At 45.6% G+C, this 18,380-nt stretch overlaps 1 long non-coding RNA gene across 10 annotated transcripts in view; it reads left to right on the top strand.

Moving 5' to 3' along the window:
* Window positions 1-18,380, top strand: part of PLXNB3-AS1 (PLXNB3 antisense RNA 1) — a 31,620-nt gene that overhangs the window by 2,595 nt on the left and 10,645 nt on the right. The window contains exons 2-5 of one of the 10 annotated variants that reach the window (NR_199701.1): window positions 60-167; window positions 409-514; window positions 782-935; window positions 1,784-5,810. The exons of 1 other annotated variant lie outside the window; for it this stretch is intronic. This is a non-coding gene — a long non-coding RNA (PLXNB3 antisense RNA 1). Of the gene's footprint in view, window positions 1-27; window positions 168-403; window positions 515-781; window positions 5,811-18,380 lie in introns of those variants that run through there. 8 more of the 10 variants (NR_199697.1, NR_199699.1, NR_199702.1 and 5 more) reach the window with 8 other exon arrangements.

Genomic DNA, 18,380 nt, shown 5'->3' with positions numbered 1-18,380 from the left:
CACAGGGCCCCTTCACTTAACCGTCAGGCTACATGACCTTGAACCATGAACCTTGGCAGGCGTTGGGCAGGAGATGGAGCTGAGGCCTACCCCAGGCCAGGCCTGGACGTGACATGCCCACGTGGCGTTGAGGAAAAACCAGTGTTTCCCACCGACTGGAACACAAGGTTGGTCAAGGGCCGTCTCCCAGGGTGTGGCGGAGGTCAGCAAATCAGGTGGGGTCTTTGTGGCCAGGCTTGAGAACTTGAACTTGTCTCGCCATGGGCAACTGCAAGCTGGTGGCACTGGGGCAGAGAATGTGGGGAGGCCTGGTCCAGTGGTGGTCATGGGCATGGAGAGAGGCGGGCGCGTTCTAGAGGCGCTCTGGGGAGGCAGCATTCTGAAGACTGTGCGTTGGACCCAGGGCAGGAGGCGAAGGCAGGAGAATCCAGGCGACCCTGGGGCTTTTCTGCTGGGGCACTGTTCCCCCTGTGGCAGGGCCATCCACAGAGGGGCTGGCGGAAGTGGGAGGACGGTAAGACTGAGGGGCCCATGAGGGAGGAGGAAATGGTGATGGGGCTGGGGAGGCCTGGGGGTGAGAAGCTTGGCTCAGGTGGCTGGAGCCCTGGGGGCGGCCAGGGTATAGGGCCAGGTGTTGGCCCTGGAGCTCAAAGGCCCAGCAGACTCGGGGTATGGGTGCTTCCCTGAGCAGCTGTGTCATTCTTTCCAACCTGCATGGAGAGAAATGGGGCACAGAGGTGGGTAACTTGCCCAGGGCCATGACCTGACGTCGTTTCTTCAGAGTGCATTCCACAGAGATGGGATTTGAACCTGGGCATTCTGGCACGGGCCACGCTCTGGACCACTGGGCCCCAGATCCACAGCTTCTCACCTGCAGCCGCTGAGGATGTGGAGGCAGACCAGGCAGGCCCGTGGGAAGGACCACCAAAAAGCGAGTGAGCAGCCGGCGAGGGGTCTCTCCCCAACAGGAAGGCCAGGCAGCCTTGAAGGAGCCAGGGAGGGATTTAGAAGCTCCAGGAGGGGAGGCTTGGGGGAGCCAGCTGGCCTCTCTCCCTCTCCCTGTCCTTCCCCCCATGCCTACCCCAACACACACACACATGTCCTTGCTGGCCCCGGATGAGACAGACGCCTGCAATCTGGCATGGGGAATGGGTTTCTCCTTCCTTTCCACAGAAGAAAATAAATCAGGCTGGGCGTCGTGGCTCCCGCCTGTAATCCCAGCACTTTGGGAGCCTAAGGCAGCAGGATCACTTGGGCCCAGGAGTTCTAGACCAGCATGGGCAACATAGTGAGACCCCCATCTCTATAAAAAAATTTAAAAATTAGCCAGGCATGGTGGTGCGAGCCTGTAGTCCCAGCTACTTGGGAGGCTGAAGTGGGAGGATCGCCTGAGCCTGGGAGTTGGTGCCTGCAGTGAGCCGTGATGGTGCCATTGCACTCTAGCCTGGGTGACAGTGCAAGACTCTGTCTTTAAAAAAAAAAGAAAAGAAAGAAAGAAAAAAGAAAATAAATCCATCCACAGGCAGCACCATTTTCATAAATATGTGTGTATATGGCCTGCATATGCACCTTCTACGCTTTCTGAGCAGATAAGAGGCGTGGCTATGGCAGCCCCTGGTCTGAAGCTGGTGTAACCAGAAAGGATCTAGGCTGGTTTGGGGAACCGGAACATCTTATGTCAGGGGAGTCGTGCTGGATTTATCCTGCAATGGCCGGGTCCCCTCACCAAGGGATGGGAAGGCAGCGTCAACTGATCTGGTGTCGTCTCCTTGCTGTGTGCCAGGCTTCTCAATGCTGGAAGGGGACTCGTTGGGTCAGTGGGACGTGGGCTTCACGTTTGCTGGGCTGAAGACGTAGCTCTCCATGCTGGCATCCCAGCGGACACCCCCACTGCCACTGCTGCACCACGTCTTCACGTACACCAGAGAGCAGACTTGAGAGTTTCTGCGCATACAGTGGGTGTGAAATGGTGCCCTGCTGGGTTTTGAATCGGCATTCCTTGACCACCGGCCATATTGCAGCACTTTTCATTTCTTCTGTCAAATGCCCGTGCATGTCTTGGCTTACACTTTGCAGGTGTTCTGTATTTTCCACACCAATCCCTGGGGTGTATGTCTTCGGCCTACCTGTTACTTGTCTTCTCAGTTTGCTGATGTATCATGTGATAAACAGAAAGTCTTAATTTTAATATCATAGCATTTATCAATCTGATTTCTTTTTTTGAGACGGGGTCTCGCTCTGTCGTGCAGGCTGGGGTGCATTGGCGCAATCATGGCTCACTGAAGCCTCCTGGGCTCAAGTGATCCTCCCACCTTAGCCTCCCAAACACCTGGGACTACAGGCAGGCGCCACAGTGCCTGGCTAATTTTGTAATTTTTTTGTAGAGACAGGGTCTCGCTATGTTGCCCAGGCTGGTCTCAAACTCCTGGACTCAAGCGGCCCTCCCGCCTTGGCTTCCCAAAGTGCTGGCCCGTGAGCCTGTGAGCCACTGCGCCTGGCTACCTTCTTTTGAATTCCCATTCAGACTGTGTGTTGCTGGTACATAGAAAAACAATGGATTTCTATGTATCAAGTAACCTTGTAAACTCTCATATTAAGTCTAATAATTATGTTTGGGTTCTCTTTGTGGATTCTTTTTGATTTTCTGCGTACACAATCCTATCATCTGCAAGTAATGACCATTTTGTTTCTTCTATTCCAGTCTTTTTAGCTTTGATTTCTTTTTTTGAGGCAGAGTCTGGCTCTGTCACCCAGGCTGGAGTATAGTGGCACAATCTTGGCTCACTGCAACCTCCGCCTCCCTGGTTCAAGCAGTTCTCCTGCCTCAGCCTCCCAAGAAGCTGGGACTACAGGCACCCACCACCACGCCTGACTAATTTTTGTATCTTTACCAGACACAGGGTTTCACCATGTTGGCCAGGCTGATCTGGAACTCCTGATCCACCTGCCTTGGCCTCCCAAAGTGCTAGGATTACAGGCGTGAGCCACTGTGCCCGGCTGATTTCGTTTCCTTGCTTTACTTCCCTGGACTTGCTTTCTCTTGCTTTTACTTCCTTTGAATGAAAGCATAGGAGGCGCTGGGCATGGTGGCTCACGCCTGTAATCCCAGCACTTTGGGAGGCCGAGGTGGGTGGATCACCTGAGGTCAGGAGTTCGAGACCAGCCTGACCAACATGGAGAAACTCTGTCTCTACTAAAAATACAAAAAAATTAGCCGAGCATGGTGGCCCATGCTTGTAATCCCAGCTACTTGGGAGGCTGAGGCAGGAGACTCGCTTGAACCCAGGAGGCCGAGGTTGCGGTGAGCCAAGATCGAGCCATTGCACTCCAGCCTGGGCAACAAAAGCGAAACTCTGTCTCAAAAAAAAAAAAAAAAAAAAAAAAAAAGCATAGGAGGCATTCTCAGTGTTCCATTATTAAGTATGATGTTTGCAGGGAGCATTCGGTAGATATGTTTATCAGATTTAGAAAGCTCCCTCCCATTCCTAGTGTGCTATATGTTGAATTTTTATAAAATGCTTTTTCTGAATGCATTAATATGATCACAGGGTTTTCCTCCTCTAATCTGTTAATGTGGCAAATTACATTAATTCATTTTTAAATGTTAAACCACTCTTGTATTTTCTGGACTAAACTCAACTTTGCGTGATGTATTTTTTTCATATACAATTCTGGATTGGGTGGTTTTTTTTTTTTTTTTTAGCCTCGTATTATTATCCTCGTCTGGTTTTGGTATCAAGACATCGTAAAGTGAGTTGAGGCAGTATTTCCTTTTTCAGCTGTTCACTGGAACAGTTAGTCTAAGATGGAGATGATCAGTTACTTCCATGTTTGCTGGAGATCATCTGTAAAACCATCTAGGCCTTCCTTGTTTTTTATTTTCTGTTTTTTGTTTTGTTTCTTTTCTTTTCTCTTCTTTGTTTTTTTTGTTTTGTTTTGTTTTGTTTTGTTGTTGTTTTGAGACAGAGTCTCACTCTGTTGCCCAGGCTGGAGTGCAGTGGTACAGTCTTGGCTTACTGCAACCTCTGCCTCCTGGGTGCAAGCGATTCTCCTGCCTCAGCCTCCCGAGTAGCTGGGACTGCAGGCATGCACCACCACGTCCAGCTAAGTTTTGTATTTTTAGTAGAGACGGTGTTTCGCCATGTTGGCCAGTCTGGTCTTGAACTCCTGACCTCAGGTGATCTGCCTGCCTCGGCCTCACAAAGTGCTGGGATTACAGGCATGAGCCACCGCATCTGGCCTGGCCTTCCTTGTTTTTGTAGCTTCCTGCCTGTCCCCCTATAGATTTTAAACAATGAATCCAACTTCTGTAATAATTATGGGACCATTTAGGTTTTCTGTTTCTTCTTGAGTAATTTTTTTATTGTGGGAAAAAATACATAACACAAAATTTGCCATCTTTTTTTTTTTTTTTTTTGAGACAGGTCTTGCTCTGTTGCCCAGGCTGGGGTGCAGTGGCATAATCATTGTAACCTCAAACTCCTGGTCTCAAGCAATTCTCCTGCCTCAGCCTCCTGGGTAGCTGGGACTATAGGCATTCACCACCATGCCCAGCTAATTTTTAATTTAATTTTTTTTTTTGAGACAGATCTCACTTTGTCACCCAGGCTGGAGTACAGTGGCGTGATCTCAGCTCACTGCAACCTCTGCCTCCCGGGTTCAAGCAATTTTTGTGCTTCAGCCTCAAATTTTTAATGTTTTTGGTAGAGATGGGATCTTGTTACTTTGCCCAGGCTGGTCTCCCATTCCCAGACTCAATCAATCCTCCTACCTTGGCTTCCCAAAGCACTGGGATTACAGGTGTGAGCCACCATGCCCAGCCTCCAACTTTATTCTTTTGCATGTGGATATCAAGTTTCCCCTATACCATTTGTTGAAAAGACTGCCCTTTTCCCAATTTGTAGCCTTGATACCCTTGTCAAAAATCATCTGACCATATACTTGAGAGTTTCTTTCTGGGCTCTGGATTATATTCTGTCTCTGTCTTTATGCCAGGACCACACTGTAATATGTTTTATTTTGTAAATCAGGAAGTGTGAGTCCTCGAACTTTGTTCTCCTTTTTCAGAATTGTTTTGGTTATTTGGAGCCCCTTGAGATTCTATCTGAATTTAGGATGAATCATTCTATTTTGAGTCAATTTTTGATAAACAATATTTTTCTAGGAACATGCTTTTTTTTTTTTTTTTTTAGACAGAATCTAGCTCTGTCGCCCGGGCTGGAGTGCAGTGGCATGATCTTGGCTCACTGCAACCTTTGCCTCCTGGGTTCAAGCAATCCTCCTGCCTCAGCCTCTCGAGTAGCTGGGATTACAGGTGCCCGCTACCACGCCCAGCTGATTTTTGTATTTTTAGCAGAGACGGAGTTTCACTGTGTTGGCCAGGCTGGTCTTGAACTCCTGACCTCAGGTGATCCACCTGCGTCGGTCTCCCAAAGTGCTGGGATTACAAGCGTGAGCCACCGCGCCTGGCTGGAACATGCCCATTTTGTTTAAGTTTTCAAGTTTATTAGCATAAAGTGTTTTGGTTTTATTTTATCATTGATTTATTATTAATAAATGTCTTGGGTCAAAACCAGATGACGTTGCTTAATGTTCATTTATTGTTAACCTACAAAAATTGCAGTTTCATCTTGTTCAATCTAATACACACGGAAGAGCATATGCTGCTTAGATGAATCATCCCCACTGACAGCCATCATGGACCCTTCTTTTTCCCTTCGCAGTTAGTCCTAGCCTTTCCTTGGTTTTCTTTATACTTGTCCCAAATATGAATTAGCCTTAAACAATAAATTATTTACTTTTGCAACAAATTTTTTGGTTTTATTTTTTTAAATGTGTTAACTAGAATCACCATGCTGTACATCAGATCTCTGGAACGTCTCCATCCTGCATAACTGAAACTTGGTACCCTTTGACCAGCATTTTCCCATTTCCCCTACCCCAGTCCTGGCGGCCACTGTTCTGCTCTGTTTCCATGAGGCTGACATTTTTACTTTCCACGTGAGCAGCGTCATGCAGTATTTGCCTTTCTGTGCCCGGCTTACTTCACTTAATGTAATGTCCTCCAGGTTCCTCCATGTTGCAAATGGCAGGATTGCCTTCTTTTTAAAGGCTGAGTAGTGATCCATTGTGTATCTGTACCACATTTTCTTTATCCATTCATCTGTTGGTGGGCATTTCGTTTGATTCCATATCTTGGCGATTGTGAGTAGTGCTTCAATGGACATGCGAGTGTGGATATTGCCTCGACATACCGATTTCATTTCCTTTAGATACATACCCAGAAATGGGATTGCTGGATTGTATGGTCATTCTCACTTTAAATATTTTGAGGAACCACCATGCATACCATTTTCCATACTGTTCCAAAATGTTCCCTTTTCTCCACACCCTCGCCAAAGTTTGTTTTCTTTTGTCTTTTTGAAAACGATCATTCTAATTTGAGTGAGGTGGTGTCTCATTGTGGTTTTGAGTTGCATTTCCCTGATGATTGGTGATGTCGAGCATTTTTTTCTTTTTTTAAGATGGAGTTTTGTTCTTTCGCCCAGGCTGGAGTGAAGTGGCGCGATCTTGGCTTACTGCAACCTCTGCCCCCCGGATTCAAGTGATTCTCCTGCCTCAGCCTCTGGAGTAGCTGGGATTACAGGCGTATGCCACCACACCTGGCTAAGTTTTGTATTTTTAGTAGAGACAGGGTTTCACCATGTTGGCCAGGCAGGTCCTGAACTCTTGACCTCAGGTGATCCACTCACCTCGGCTTCCCAAAGTGCTAGGATTACAGGCGTGAGCACTGCACCCGGCTGATGTTGAGCATTTTTTTTTAATAGACCTATTGGCCGTTTGTATGTCTTCTTTTGAGAAATGCCTGTTCAGGTCCTTGCCCATTTAAATTGGGTTATTTATTTTTTCAATTTTCAATTTTTAATTTTTAGGAGTACATAGTAGGTGTAACTGGGTTATTTTAACTGGGTTAGAAAATACATTTGCTTGCTATTGAGTTGTATGAGTTCCTTGTGTGTTCTGTGTATTAACCTTGTATCAGATGGATGGTTTACAACTATGTTCTTCCATTCCATAGGCTGTCTCCTTCACTCTGTTGATTGCTTCCTCTGCTGTGCAGAAGCTTTTTAGTTTGATGCAAACTCATTTGTCTGTTTTTGTTTTGTTGCCTGTGCTTTTGGTGTCATATTGAAAAACTTATTGCCCAGACCAGTGCCAAGCAGCTTTTCACGTAAGTTTCTTCTAGTAGTTTTCTAATTTCAGGTCTCACATTTGAATCTTCAGTCCGTTTTGAGTTGATCTTTGTGCATTGTGTGAGATAAGGGTCTAATTTCATTCTACTGCAAGTGAATATCCAATTTTCCCAACACCATTTATTGACAAGACTGTCTTTTGTCTATCATGTATTATTGGCACCTTTGTCGAAGATCAATCAACTGTAAATGCATAGATTTATTTCTGGGTTCACTATTCTGTTACGTTGGTGTATGTGTCTGTTTTTATGCCAGAACCATGCTGTTTTGGTTACTATAGCTTTGTAACATATTTTGAGATCAGATAGCATGAGTCTTCCAGTTTTGTTCTTTTTGTTCAAGATTGCTTTGGCTATTTGGGGTCTTTTGTGGTTTAACATACATTTTAGAATTGCTTTCTCTATTTCTGTGAAAAATCTCATGGGAATATTGATAGGGATTACATTGAATGTGTAGATCACTTTGGGTAGTATAGACATTTTAACAATATTAACTATCCCAATCCATGAACACAGGGTATCTTTCCATTTATTTGTGTTTTCTTCAGTTTCTTTCATCTGTGGTTTACAGTTTTCGGTGTATAGGTCTTTCACCTCCTTGGTTAAACTTATTCCTAAGTATTTTATTTTTTATAGCTATTATAAATGAGATTGTTGGCTTGATTTCCTTTTTGGATAACAAAATAAATCTTCTTTGATGATTTCTTTTTTAGAAAGTGCATTGGCTGGGCGCAGTGGCTCACGCTTGTAATCCCAGCACTTTGGGAGGCCGAGGTGGGCGGATCACAAGGTCAGGAATCGAGACCACGGTGAAACCCTGTCTCTACTAAAAATACAAAAAATTAGCTGGGCATGGTGGCGGGCGCCTGTAGTCCCAGCTACTCGGAGAGGCTGAGACAGGAGAATGGCGTGAACCCGGGAGGCGGAGCTTGCAGTGAGCCGAGATAGTGCCACTGCACTCCAGCCTGGGCAACAGAGACTCTGTCTCAAAAAAAAAAAAAAAAAAAAGAAAGTGCATTGTTAGCATATAGCATATAGAAATGCTACTAGGTGAGGCATGATGGCTCACACCTGTAATTCCAGCACTTTGAGAGGCCAAGGCAGGAGGATCACTTGAGCCCAGAAATTCAAGACCAGCCCAGGCAACTAAACAAGACCCTGTCTCAATAATAGCAATAATATTAATACTAATTAGTCAGGCATGATGGTGCACATTTGTAGTCTCAGCTACTCAGGAAGCTGAGGTGGGAGAAGCCCAGGAGGTCAAGGCTGCAGTGAACTGTGATTGAGCCACTGTACTCCAGGTGGGGTGATAGAGCAAGATTCTGTCTCAAAAAAAAAAAAATAAAATAAAAAATAAAAGCTATTGTTTTGTATGCTGATTTTGTATCCTGTACCTTGACTGAATTCTAACAATTTTTCGGTGGAGTCTTTAGGGTTTTCTGCATACAGGATTGTGTGATCTGCAAACAGAGACAATTTAATCTCTCTCTCTCTCTTTTTTTTTTTTTTTTTTTTACGAAGTGTCACTCTGTTGTCCAGGCTGGAGTGCAGTAGTGTGATCTCGGCTCACTGCAACCTCAGCCTCTCAAGTTCAAGTGATTCTCCTGCCTCAGCCTCCCAAGTAGCTGGGATTACAGGCATGCACCACCACACCTGGCTAATTACTGTCTTTTTAGTAGAGATGGGGTTTCACCATGTTAGCCAGGCTGGTCTCGAACTCCTGACCTCAGGTGATCTGCCTACCTCGGCCTCCGAAAGTGCTGGGATTATATGTGTGAGCCACCGAGCCTGGCCTAATTTGGGTTTTTAAATGTTTTTTTTTTTCTTTTCTCATTGCTGTGGCTAGGCCTTCCAGGACTATGCTGAGTAGAAGTGGTGAGAGTGGGCATCCTTGTCTTGCTCCTGATCTTAAAGGAAGAGCTTTCAGCTTTTCACCATTCAGTATGATGTTAGCTGTGGGCTTGTCATATATGGCCTTTATGATGTTGAGGTATATTCCTTCTATACCTAATTTGTTGAGAGTTTCTTTTTAATTTTGTTTTTTTGGTAGAGACAGGGCCTATGTTGCCCAGGCTGGTCTTAAACTCCTGGGCCCAAGTGATCCTCCTGCCTTGGCCTCCCAAAGTGCTGGAACTACAGGCACGCACCAATGTACCTGGCTAATTTGTATTTGTTTGTTTGTTTGAGACAGGGTCTTGCTCTGTCACCCAGACTGGAGTGCAGTGGTATGATCCTGGCTCACAGTAGCCTCGAACTCCAGGGCTCAAGCCTCCAGAGTAGCTGGGACTACAGGCACACACCACCATGATTGGTTAATTTAAAAAAATTTTTTTTTGTAGAGGTGTCTTGCTATGTTGCCCAGGCTGGTCTGAACTCCTGGGCTCAAGAGATCCTCCTGCCTCGGCATCCCAAAGTGCTGGGATTACAGGCATGAGCCACTGCACCTGGCCAAGAGCTAATTTTTTTTTTTTTACATCATGAAAGAATGTTAAATTTTGTCAAATGCTTTTTCTGCATCAATTGAGAAATGATTTTATTCTCCATTCTGTTAACGTGGTGCATCACATTTATTGGTTTGCATATATTCAATCACCCTTGTATCCCAGGGATAAATTCTACTTGCTCATGGTGAATGAGCCTTTTAATGTGCTATTGAATTCGGTTTGCTAGTATTTTGTTGAAGATTTTTGCACCTGTGTTCATCAGGGATATTGGCCTGTAGCTTTTTTTCTTTTAGTGTTCTTGTCCAGCTTTGATATCAGGGAATTTTCTGACCTTATTAAATGAGTTTGGAAGCGTTCCCTCCTCTTTAGTTTTTTGGAAGAGTTTGAGAAGGATAGGTATTAGTTATTTAACTGTTTGGTAGAATTTACCAATGAAGCCATCAGGCCTGAGCTTTTCTTTGATGAGAGACTCTATTACTTGTCCAATCTCCTTACTCATTATTGGTCTGTTCAGATTTTCTATTTCTTCTTAAGTCAGTCTTGGTAGGTTGGATGTGCCTAGGAATGTATCCATTTTTTCTAGGATACCCAATTTGTTGGAGTATAATTATTCATAGTAGTTTCTTTTTTTTTTTTCTTTTTTTTTTTTTTTTGAGACGGAGTCTCACTCTGTTGCCCAGGCTGGAGTGCAGTGGCACGATCTCAGCTCACTGCAAGCTCTGCCTCCCGGGTTCATGCCATTCTCCTGCCTCAGCCTCCCGAGTAGCTGGGACTACAGGCGCCCGCCACCACGCCCGGCTAATTTTTTGTATTTTTAGCGGGGACGGGGTTTCACCGTGTTAGCCAGGCTGGTCTTGATCTCCTGACTTCATGATCCACCCGCCTCGGCCTCCCAAAGTGCTGGGATTACAGGCTTGAGCCACCGTGCCCGGCCTATTCATAGTAGTTTCTTACAATCCTTTGCATTTCTGTGGTATCAGTTGTAATGTCTCATTTCTGATTGATTTATTTGAGTCTTATCTCTTCTTAGTTGGTCTAGCTAGAGGTTTGTTGATTTTATCTTAAAAAAATCCCAACTCTTAGTTTCATTCATCTTTTCTGTTATTTTTCTAGTCTCTATTTCATGTATTTCTGCTTTGATCTTTGTTCTTTCCTTCTTTCTGCTGACTTTGGGCTTATTTTGTTCTTCCTTTTCTAGTTCCTTGGTGTGTAAAGTTAGGTTGTTTATTTGAGATCTTTCTTACTTCTTTTTTCTTTTTTTTTTTTTTCCAGTGACTCTCGTGCCTCAGCCTCCCAAGTAGCTGGGACTACAGGCATGTGCCACCACGCCCACTAATTTTTGTATTTTTAGTAGAGACGGGTTTTCGCCATGTTGCTCAGGCTGGTCTTGAACTTCTGGCCTCAAGTGACCCACCAACCTTGGCCTCCCAATGTGCTGGGATTATAGACGTGAGCCACCATGCCCAGCCTCTTTCTTATTTCTTAATGGAGGCATTTAAGGCTCTAAACTTCCCTCTCGGAATTGCTTTGCTGCACACTGCATTTTGTATGTTGTGTTTCCATGTTCATTTGTCTCAAGAGATTTTTTTTTTTGTTTCCCTTTTGATTTCTTCTTTGACCCATTGGTTGTTCAGGAGGGTGTTGTGTATTTCCACAAATCTGTGAGTTTTCCAGTTTGCTTTCTCTTAGTGATCTCTTGTTTGCGGTTGGGAAAGATGCTTAATGTGATTTGATCTTCTTGAATTTGTTAAGACTTGTTTTGTGGCCTGACATATGGTCTATCCTGGAGACTACCCCATGTGCAGCTGAGAAGAAAGCGAATTCTGCTGCTGGTGGATGGAATGTTCTGTGTATGTCTGCTAGGTCCATTTGCTCTAGAGCAGTGGTCCCCAATCTTTTTGGCACCAAGGACCAGTTTCGTGGAAGATAATTTTTCCATGGATGGAGGGTTGGGGGGTATGGTTTCAGGATGAAACTGTTCCACCTCAGATCATCAGGCACAACCTCGATCCCACACATTCGCAGTTCATGATAGGGTTCGTGCTCCTATGAGAATCTGATGCCGCTGCTGATCTGCCAGGAGATGGAGCTCAGGCGGGAATGCTCACTTGCCCACCAGTCACCTCCTGCTCTGCAGCCCGGTTCCTAACAGGCCACAGACTAGTACTGGTCAGTGGCCTGGGGTTGGGGACCCCTGGTCTAGAGTGTTGTTCAAATCCTGCAGCATTATTTTTTTTTAACTTCCCTATAAGTGGAATCATACTGGATATATTTTTCTATAACCTGCTGTTTTCACTCCACATGACATTTGTGACAGACATCCAAGTTGATGCACATAACCGTAGTTTATTCATTTATTTATTTTTTTAGACTTCTATGGTCTGACTCTGGGACATTTCTATTGCTGTATACTGTTTCATTGTATGACTCTAACATAGATCTTTTATCTGTTCTTCTGCTAATGGACACTTGGGTTGCTTCTGGCTTTTGCCTATTAAAAAACATTTAAACATTATTTTAAGCATTATAAACAATGATGCTGTGAGCGATTTTGTACATGCAATCTGGTGTCTAGGAGTGAAATTGTTAGCTTCTAAATGTGCACATCTTCAACTATACTGAATAATGCTCACTGTTTTCCAAAGTGGTTGTCCCAGTTTGCCTGCCCCGGGGAAGTGTGAGTTCCTGCTGCTCTGTAGTACTGCTAACACTTGGTATTGTCAGACTTTACATTTCTGCCAATCAGTGGATGCAAAAAGATACTTCACTGTGGGCCGGGTGCGGGGGCTCATGCCTGTAATCTCAGCACTTTGGGAGGCCAACGTGGGTGGGTCACCTGAGGTCAGGAGTTTGAGACCAGCCTGACCAACGTGATAAAACCCTGTCTCTACTAAAAATACAAAAATTAGCCAGGTGTGGTGGCGTGCACCTGTAATTCCAGCTACTTGGGAAGCTGAAGCAGGAGAATTGCTTGAACCTGGGGGGCAGAGGTTGCAGTGAGCTGAGATTGTGCCATTGCACTCTAGCCTGGGTGATAGAGTGAGACTCCGTCTCAAAAAAAAAAAAGGGTATTTTACTGTGGCTTAAATTTGCATCTCCACAGACCTTCTGTTCTATCTCTGGTCTTCTGTACAAAGTGGGGCAGAGATATGGGCATCTAGCATCTTCTTTGTTTTCTTCTTCTTTTTTTTTAATCTGCATAGCCAGTGCAAGGACAGCAGCTTCTTATAGAGACTTCCAATAAATCATCTTGTTCTGCACTCCCCAACACATACACACACATTGTTTCTGAGTTATCTGGTGCCTCCGATTCTTGTGCAAACCCAACTTTGCCACTGGCTGCCTCCCACTACTTTTTTTCCCCTAAGTGTTAAAACATTTATTCGAGATGGCAAAATTCCTACAAGTTTTCCTAGCATGTAATTGAGGAAAATAACACAATTTTTGTAATTATTAAATGTGAAGGGAAAATTCTTTTGGATGTATTTCTTTTCCTGAAATGCAGAGGTGGAGATGTCAGGTTGGTGAAAGGAGGCGGTATTTCAAATGGCTTCTTTTCCTGGTGCCTGGTAGCCTTTGACCCCACGACGTATCATGGTGCAACATCCTGCTCTTGTCAACTGGGGTCAGGTTTCTGGGAAAGGCAGGTTAGGTTAGAGCCCCTGTGCAAGCTGAGGCGGGACATTGGCTCCTTGGGACCATCCATGCTGAGCCCCTCCTGGACAGGCTTCATAATCCTCAGGGGAGCATGTGCCCCGGCATAAAGACTACTCTTCTAGAACGTCAAATCAGAGCACTGGCAAGGGAGATGCAGGGTCACATGGTGCCTTCTCCCTCCTTTCTGGCTGGAGACTTAGACCGTTCCAAACAGATGATGATTTACTGCATCACCGAGCATGGGCAGCATATGAGACCGAAAACACCCTCAATCACATCATTCTTGTATTCACCTAGTGGTCGCTGTGTACCTCCCACGTCAGGCACTGTACTACCAGACACTGAGGATCCAGTGGGGAGCGAGAGGGACTTTGGGGACTGAGTCAGTAGGACACGGGCTGGTGGGTTAGGGAAGGATGAGGGAGACAGAGGGTCAGATGATCCCCATGGTTCTGCCTGGGGAACCTGAAGGGAAGTCAGAAAGGAAGCCAGGTTGAAGAGGGATGGCAATGAGTTTTGTGTTTGGTCTGCAAGACAGAGATGCCGGGTTGGGGGGAGAACAGGTAGGAGGTGTGCATCACAGGCAAAGGCAATTGCTCTATGGGCCTGGGTTTTGATGGGAAGAGACGCTAAATCATAGTGCATGATTCTTTTTCAAAATTGTAATGCAAAGAGCCCTCATTGAATCTGCATTTGATAGCATGTACTGTGCAAGTTTCGGGGGTATCAGGAAGAAGAAACATGCTCCTTTGTCTCCTGAAGCTCACAGGCTAGTGGACATGGCAGACACGTAAGAGAAGGCAGAAGAGGTCAGCCCACAGAGAACAGCTTTGGGTTTGCCTCTGATGCTGGCCCTGGCCCAGATCAACCAAACCTAATGGAAACAGAGAGCTGAGAAAGCGGGAGAGTTGAGCTCACTGATGCTCGGATTTTACAGATGAATGTGGAGGCGGTTTCTCCCAGTGCTGACATCCAGGTGCTGCGGGTGCCACAGAGAAACATGGAGGGGCCTTCTGGAGACCACCGCGCCCAGCATCCTTCCCGCTTTTAGAACTGGAGCGAGACAACCATGTGTGCTATCACTGCTTCTTTCTTTACAGTGTCGGTCCAACACCGTAATGGTCTGACAGCCCTGCAGGCTGGAAGCCCAGGATCACGGTGCCAGCAGGGTTGGTTTCTTCCAAGGCCTCTCATCTGGGTGGTGGCCTCATGTGGCCTTTCCTCTGTGGGCACGTGCCCTTGGTGCCTCCCACCACTTTTTTCCAAGTTCACGCTGATCCCTTGAATCAGTTATCACTCCCCCACTTGTTTTCCAGCTTCTGTGATGTTCCTGGCAGGCGCTCCTCTCACTCTCTGCTGTGAACTCTCCCTTTTACATCTGCAATCCCTTTGCATTCCTTTTAGCTGAAGTTGTTCCCACTCATGTCTTTCGCCCCCAGGTGCCCCGATGTTTCAGCTCTCAGTGGTGCCTGCAGGGAGATCCCTCTGTACTTCATAATATTATTTTTATTTTTTACACTTTTTTTTTTTGAGATGGAGTTTTGCTCTTCTCGCCCAGGCTGGAGTGCAGCGGTACAATCTTGGCTCAATGCGACCCCCGCCTTCCAGTTTCAAGCAATTCTCCTGCCTCAGCCTCCCAGGTGGCTGGGATTACAGGTGCCCGCCACCACGCCCAGCTAATTTTTGTATTTTTAGTAGAGATGGGGTTTCGTCATGTTGGCCAGGATGGTCTCTAACTCCTGACCTCAGGTGATCCGCTCACCTTGGCCTCCCGAGGTGCTGGGATTACAGGCGTGAGCCACCGCGCCTGGCCACACTTTTTTTTTCTTTTTTAATTTCCTCATAGTACTGCTTGGGCTACATGGCTTAAGCTTTTGTACATAGTTTTCATTGTTCGGTTCTAAATGCTTTTAGATTTTCATTCTAATTCTTCTCGGACCAGTGCATTATTTTTTATTTTTTTAATTTAAAAAATAATTTAATTTAGTTTTATAGAGATGGGGGGTCTCACTATGTTGCTCAGGCTGGTCTTGAACTCCTGGGCTCCAGGGATCCTCCTGCCTTGGCCTCCCGAAGTTCTGGGATTATAGGTGTGAGCCACCGTGCCTGGCCAGTAGTGTATCTTTAAATTTCCAAACATAGGGGAGCCCTTAATTTTAGTTTGGTTGCCAATTTATGCCTTTATTCTGTTGCATCAAGAACATGGCTGGTGTGATGCAAGTTCTTTTGCTATTTGTTGAGTCTTGCTTTGCAGCCTAGGACATGGTGTTAGTAAATGTCCAAGGTGAACTTGAAAACAATGTGTGGTCTGTAGTTTTTGGGTGTCCACTAAATCAAGTTTGTTCAACTTTTCCATATTTTTTTATTTTATTTTTATTTTTTGACAGAGTCTCACTCTGTTGCCCAGGCTGGAGTGCAGGGGCACAATCTCAGCTCACTGAAACCTCAAGTTCAAGTGATTCTCCTGCCTTAGCCACCCGAGTAGCTGGGATTACAGGCATGAGCCACCACATCTGGCTCATTTTTGTATTTTTTATTTTAGTTTCAGCACGTTGGCCAAGCTGGTCTCAAACTCCCGACCTCAAGTAATCCGCCTGCCTTCGCCTCCCAAAGTGTTGGGATTACAAGCATGAGACACTATGCCTGGCCCAATTTTTCTATATTCTTACTCATTGAGTCTGCTTAAACCAGCAGTTCCAGTGAGAAGTGGTATAATTTCCTGCGTGGAGAATGTGCTCATTTATTCATTTTTCCTTTTCTTGACACTTTTTTGTTTTGTAGTCATTTGGGGCTCTATCATTATGCAGGTGCACACAAGATCAGAATGGCTAATGCTTCTTTTTTTTGTTTTTTGTTTTCCTGTCGCCCAGGCTGGAGTGCAATGGCGTGATCTTGGCACACTGCAACCTTCGCGTCCCGGGTTCAAGCAGTTCTGTCTCAGCCTCCCAAGTAGCTGGGACTACAGGCATGAGCCACCATGCCTGGCTAATTTTGTACTGCAGTAGAGATGGGGTTTCACCATGTTGTTCAGGCTGGTCTCGAACTCCTGACCTCAGGTGATCTGCCCGCCTTGGCCTCCCAAAATGCTGGGATTACAGGCGTGAGCCACCGCGCCTGGCCGCTAATACTTCTTTTAAAATAATTAACTTATTTATGTATTTATTCTTTTTCCCCCACCCCTCCCCCGCCAGTGAATGCTTTGGAATGAATACTTATCAGTATGCTGCAACCACTTTTAATCCTAATAATGATTTTGCCCTGGAGCCTATTTGTGCAATATGAGCTTCTCTCCACTAGCTTCCTTTTGGATGGTCTTTGCCAGATGTGTCTCCTTCTATCTGTAGTAATTAGAGCCATTCCAGCTATGTGTCAGAAATAAACAAACGGGGTTTATGATCAAGCATGGGCGACTTACACAATCGTCAAAAGAAATGGAGGAACAACTCTCAGCCCTCCGAATCGGCCACCTCCTGGGATCAGGAATAAATCCTAATCTCAAAATGCAGGTAAACAGTCTACCTCTTGTCCCCTAAATGAGATGCCAAGCATGCCCCTCCCCTCAGCCAGGCTGTCTCCATCCAAACTTCAATGACCACTGGCCTCCCTGCTGACCCACGTCCCACTGAGGAGCCCCAAGCTCTGAACCAACTGCCTACACACCATCCCCTCGGGCTGCACCTGCTCCCCAGGCCTGCCCCTCCTTTGGAGCTGCCTCTGTCCACCAAGGGTGCTGTCGCTCACCTAACCTTCCAAGCCAGAACCCAGTGGTACCTTGCTGCCCCCTCCACTCCCTGAAGAAGCTGCCCCCATGCCTGTTGAGTTCTTCCAACTGCTCGAACCTTCTGGAACTTCAGGCCTCAGCATGTCTTGTCTGGGTGGCTGCAATGGCTGTGCTTGCTTCTCTGTCTCTCTCCATCAATCAATCAATCAATCGATCAATCATCTATCAATCAACTATCCGCCTATTAATCTATAATCAATAATCTATCAATTTATATCATTTACTTATATAATCAATCATTGATCTATCCCATGTATCTTCCTTTTATCATGTCTATCCATCTATCTATCATTTATGCCTCTATCATGTCTATCTTTCAATCATTTATCTATCACCAGGCACAGTAGCATGTGCCTGTAGTCCCAGTAACTCAGGAGGCTGAGGTAGGAGGGCTGCTTGATGCTAGCAGATCGAGTCCAGACTGGGCAAGATAGTGAGATCTTGTCTCTAAAAAAACTTTTAAAACCATCTATCATCTCTCTCTATTCATCTGTCTATCCATGTATCTATCATGTATTTTATCTATCACTTATCACCTATGAATCATCCATCATCTATCAATCAATCATCTATATCAATCATGTCTATATATCTATATATCTATGTATCAATTTATCCATCAATCATCTGTTTTTGAGGCGATATTCACAAAATATACAATCAATCCCTTTAAAGTGCATAATTCAGTGGCATTTAGTATGCTCTATAGTTCGAGAACATTTTCTTCGAAATAAAAAGAAACCCGAGGCTGGGTGTGGTGGCTCATGCCTGTAATCCAGCACTGTGGGAGGCTGAGGCAGGACGATCGCTTGAGTTCAGCAGTTTGAGACCAGCCTGGGCAACATAGTGAGATCCTGTCTCCAAAAAAAAAAAATCACAAAATTAGCAGGGTATGGTGGCACACGCCTGTGGTTCCAGCTACTCAGGAGGCTGGGGCGGGATTGCTTGAGCCCGGGAGATCAAGGCTGCAGTGAGTTATGACTGCGCCACTGCACTCCAGCCTGGGTGACAGGGTGAGACCCTGTCTGTCTCATTAAAAAATAAAAAATAAATACAAAATTTTTTAAAAAGGACTCCCCCCGCCACATTTTCCTTCCCCTGCCCCAGCCCCTGACACCCACTTGTCTGCTTTCTGTCCCGATGAGCCTATTCTGGACATTTGTGTCTGGCTTCTTTCACCCAGCACGAACTCTTTGAGGTCTATCTGTCGTGTTATGGCAGAATGGCACTGTGCCTTATGGAC

The sequence above is a fragment of the Homo sapiens genome, chromosome X (assembly GCF_000001405.40).
Source record: "Homo sapiens chromosome X, GRCh38.p14 Primary Assembly".
Taxonomy (NCBI): Eukaryota; Metazoa; Chordata; class Mammalia; order Primates; family Hominidae; genus Homo; species Homo sapiens.
Note: the sequence above shows the minus strand (reverse complement) of the source record. Positions and strands in the feature narration are given on the sequence as shown.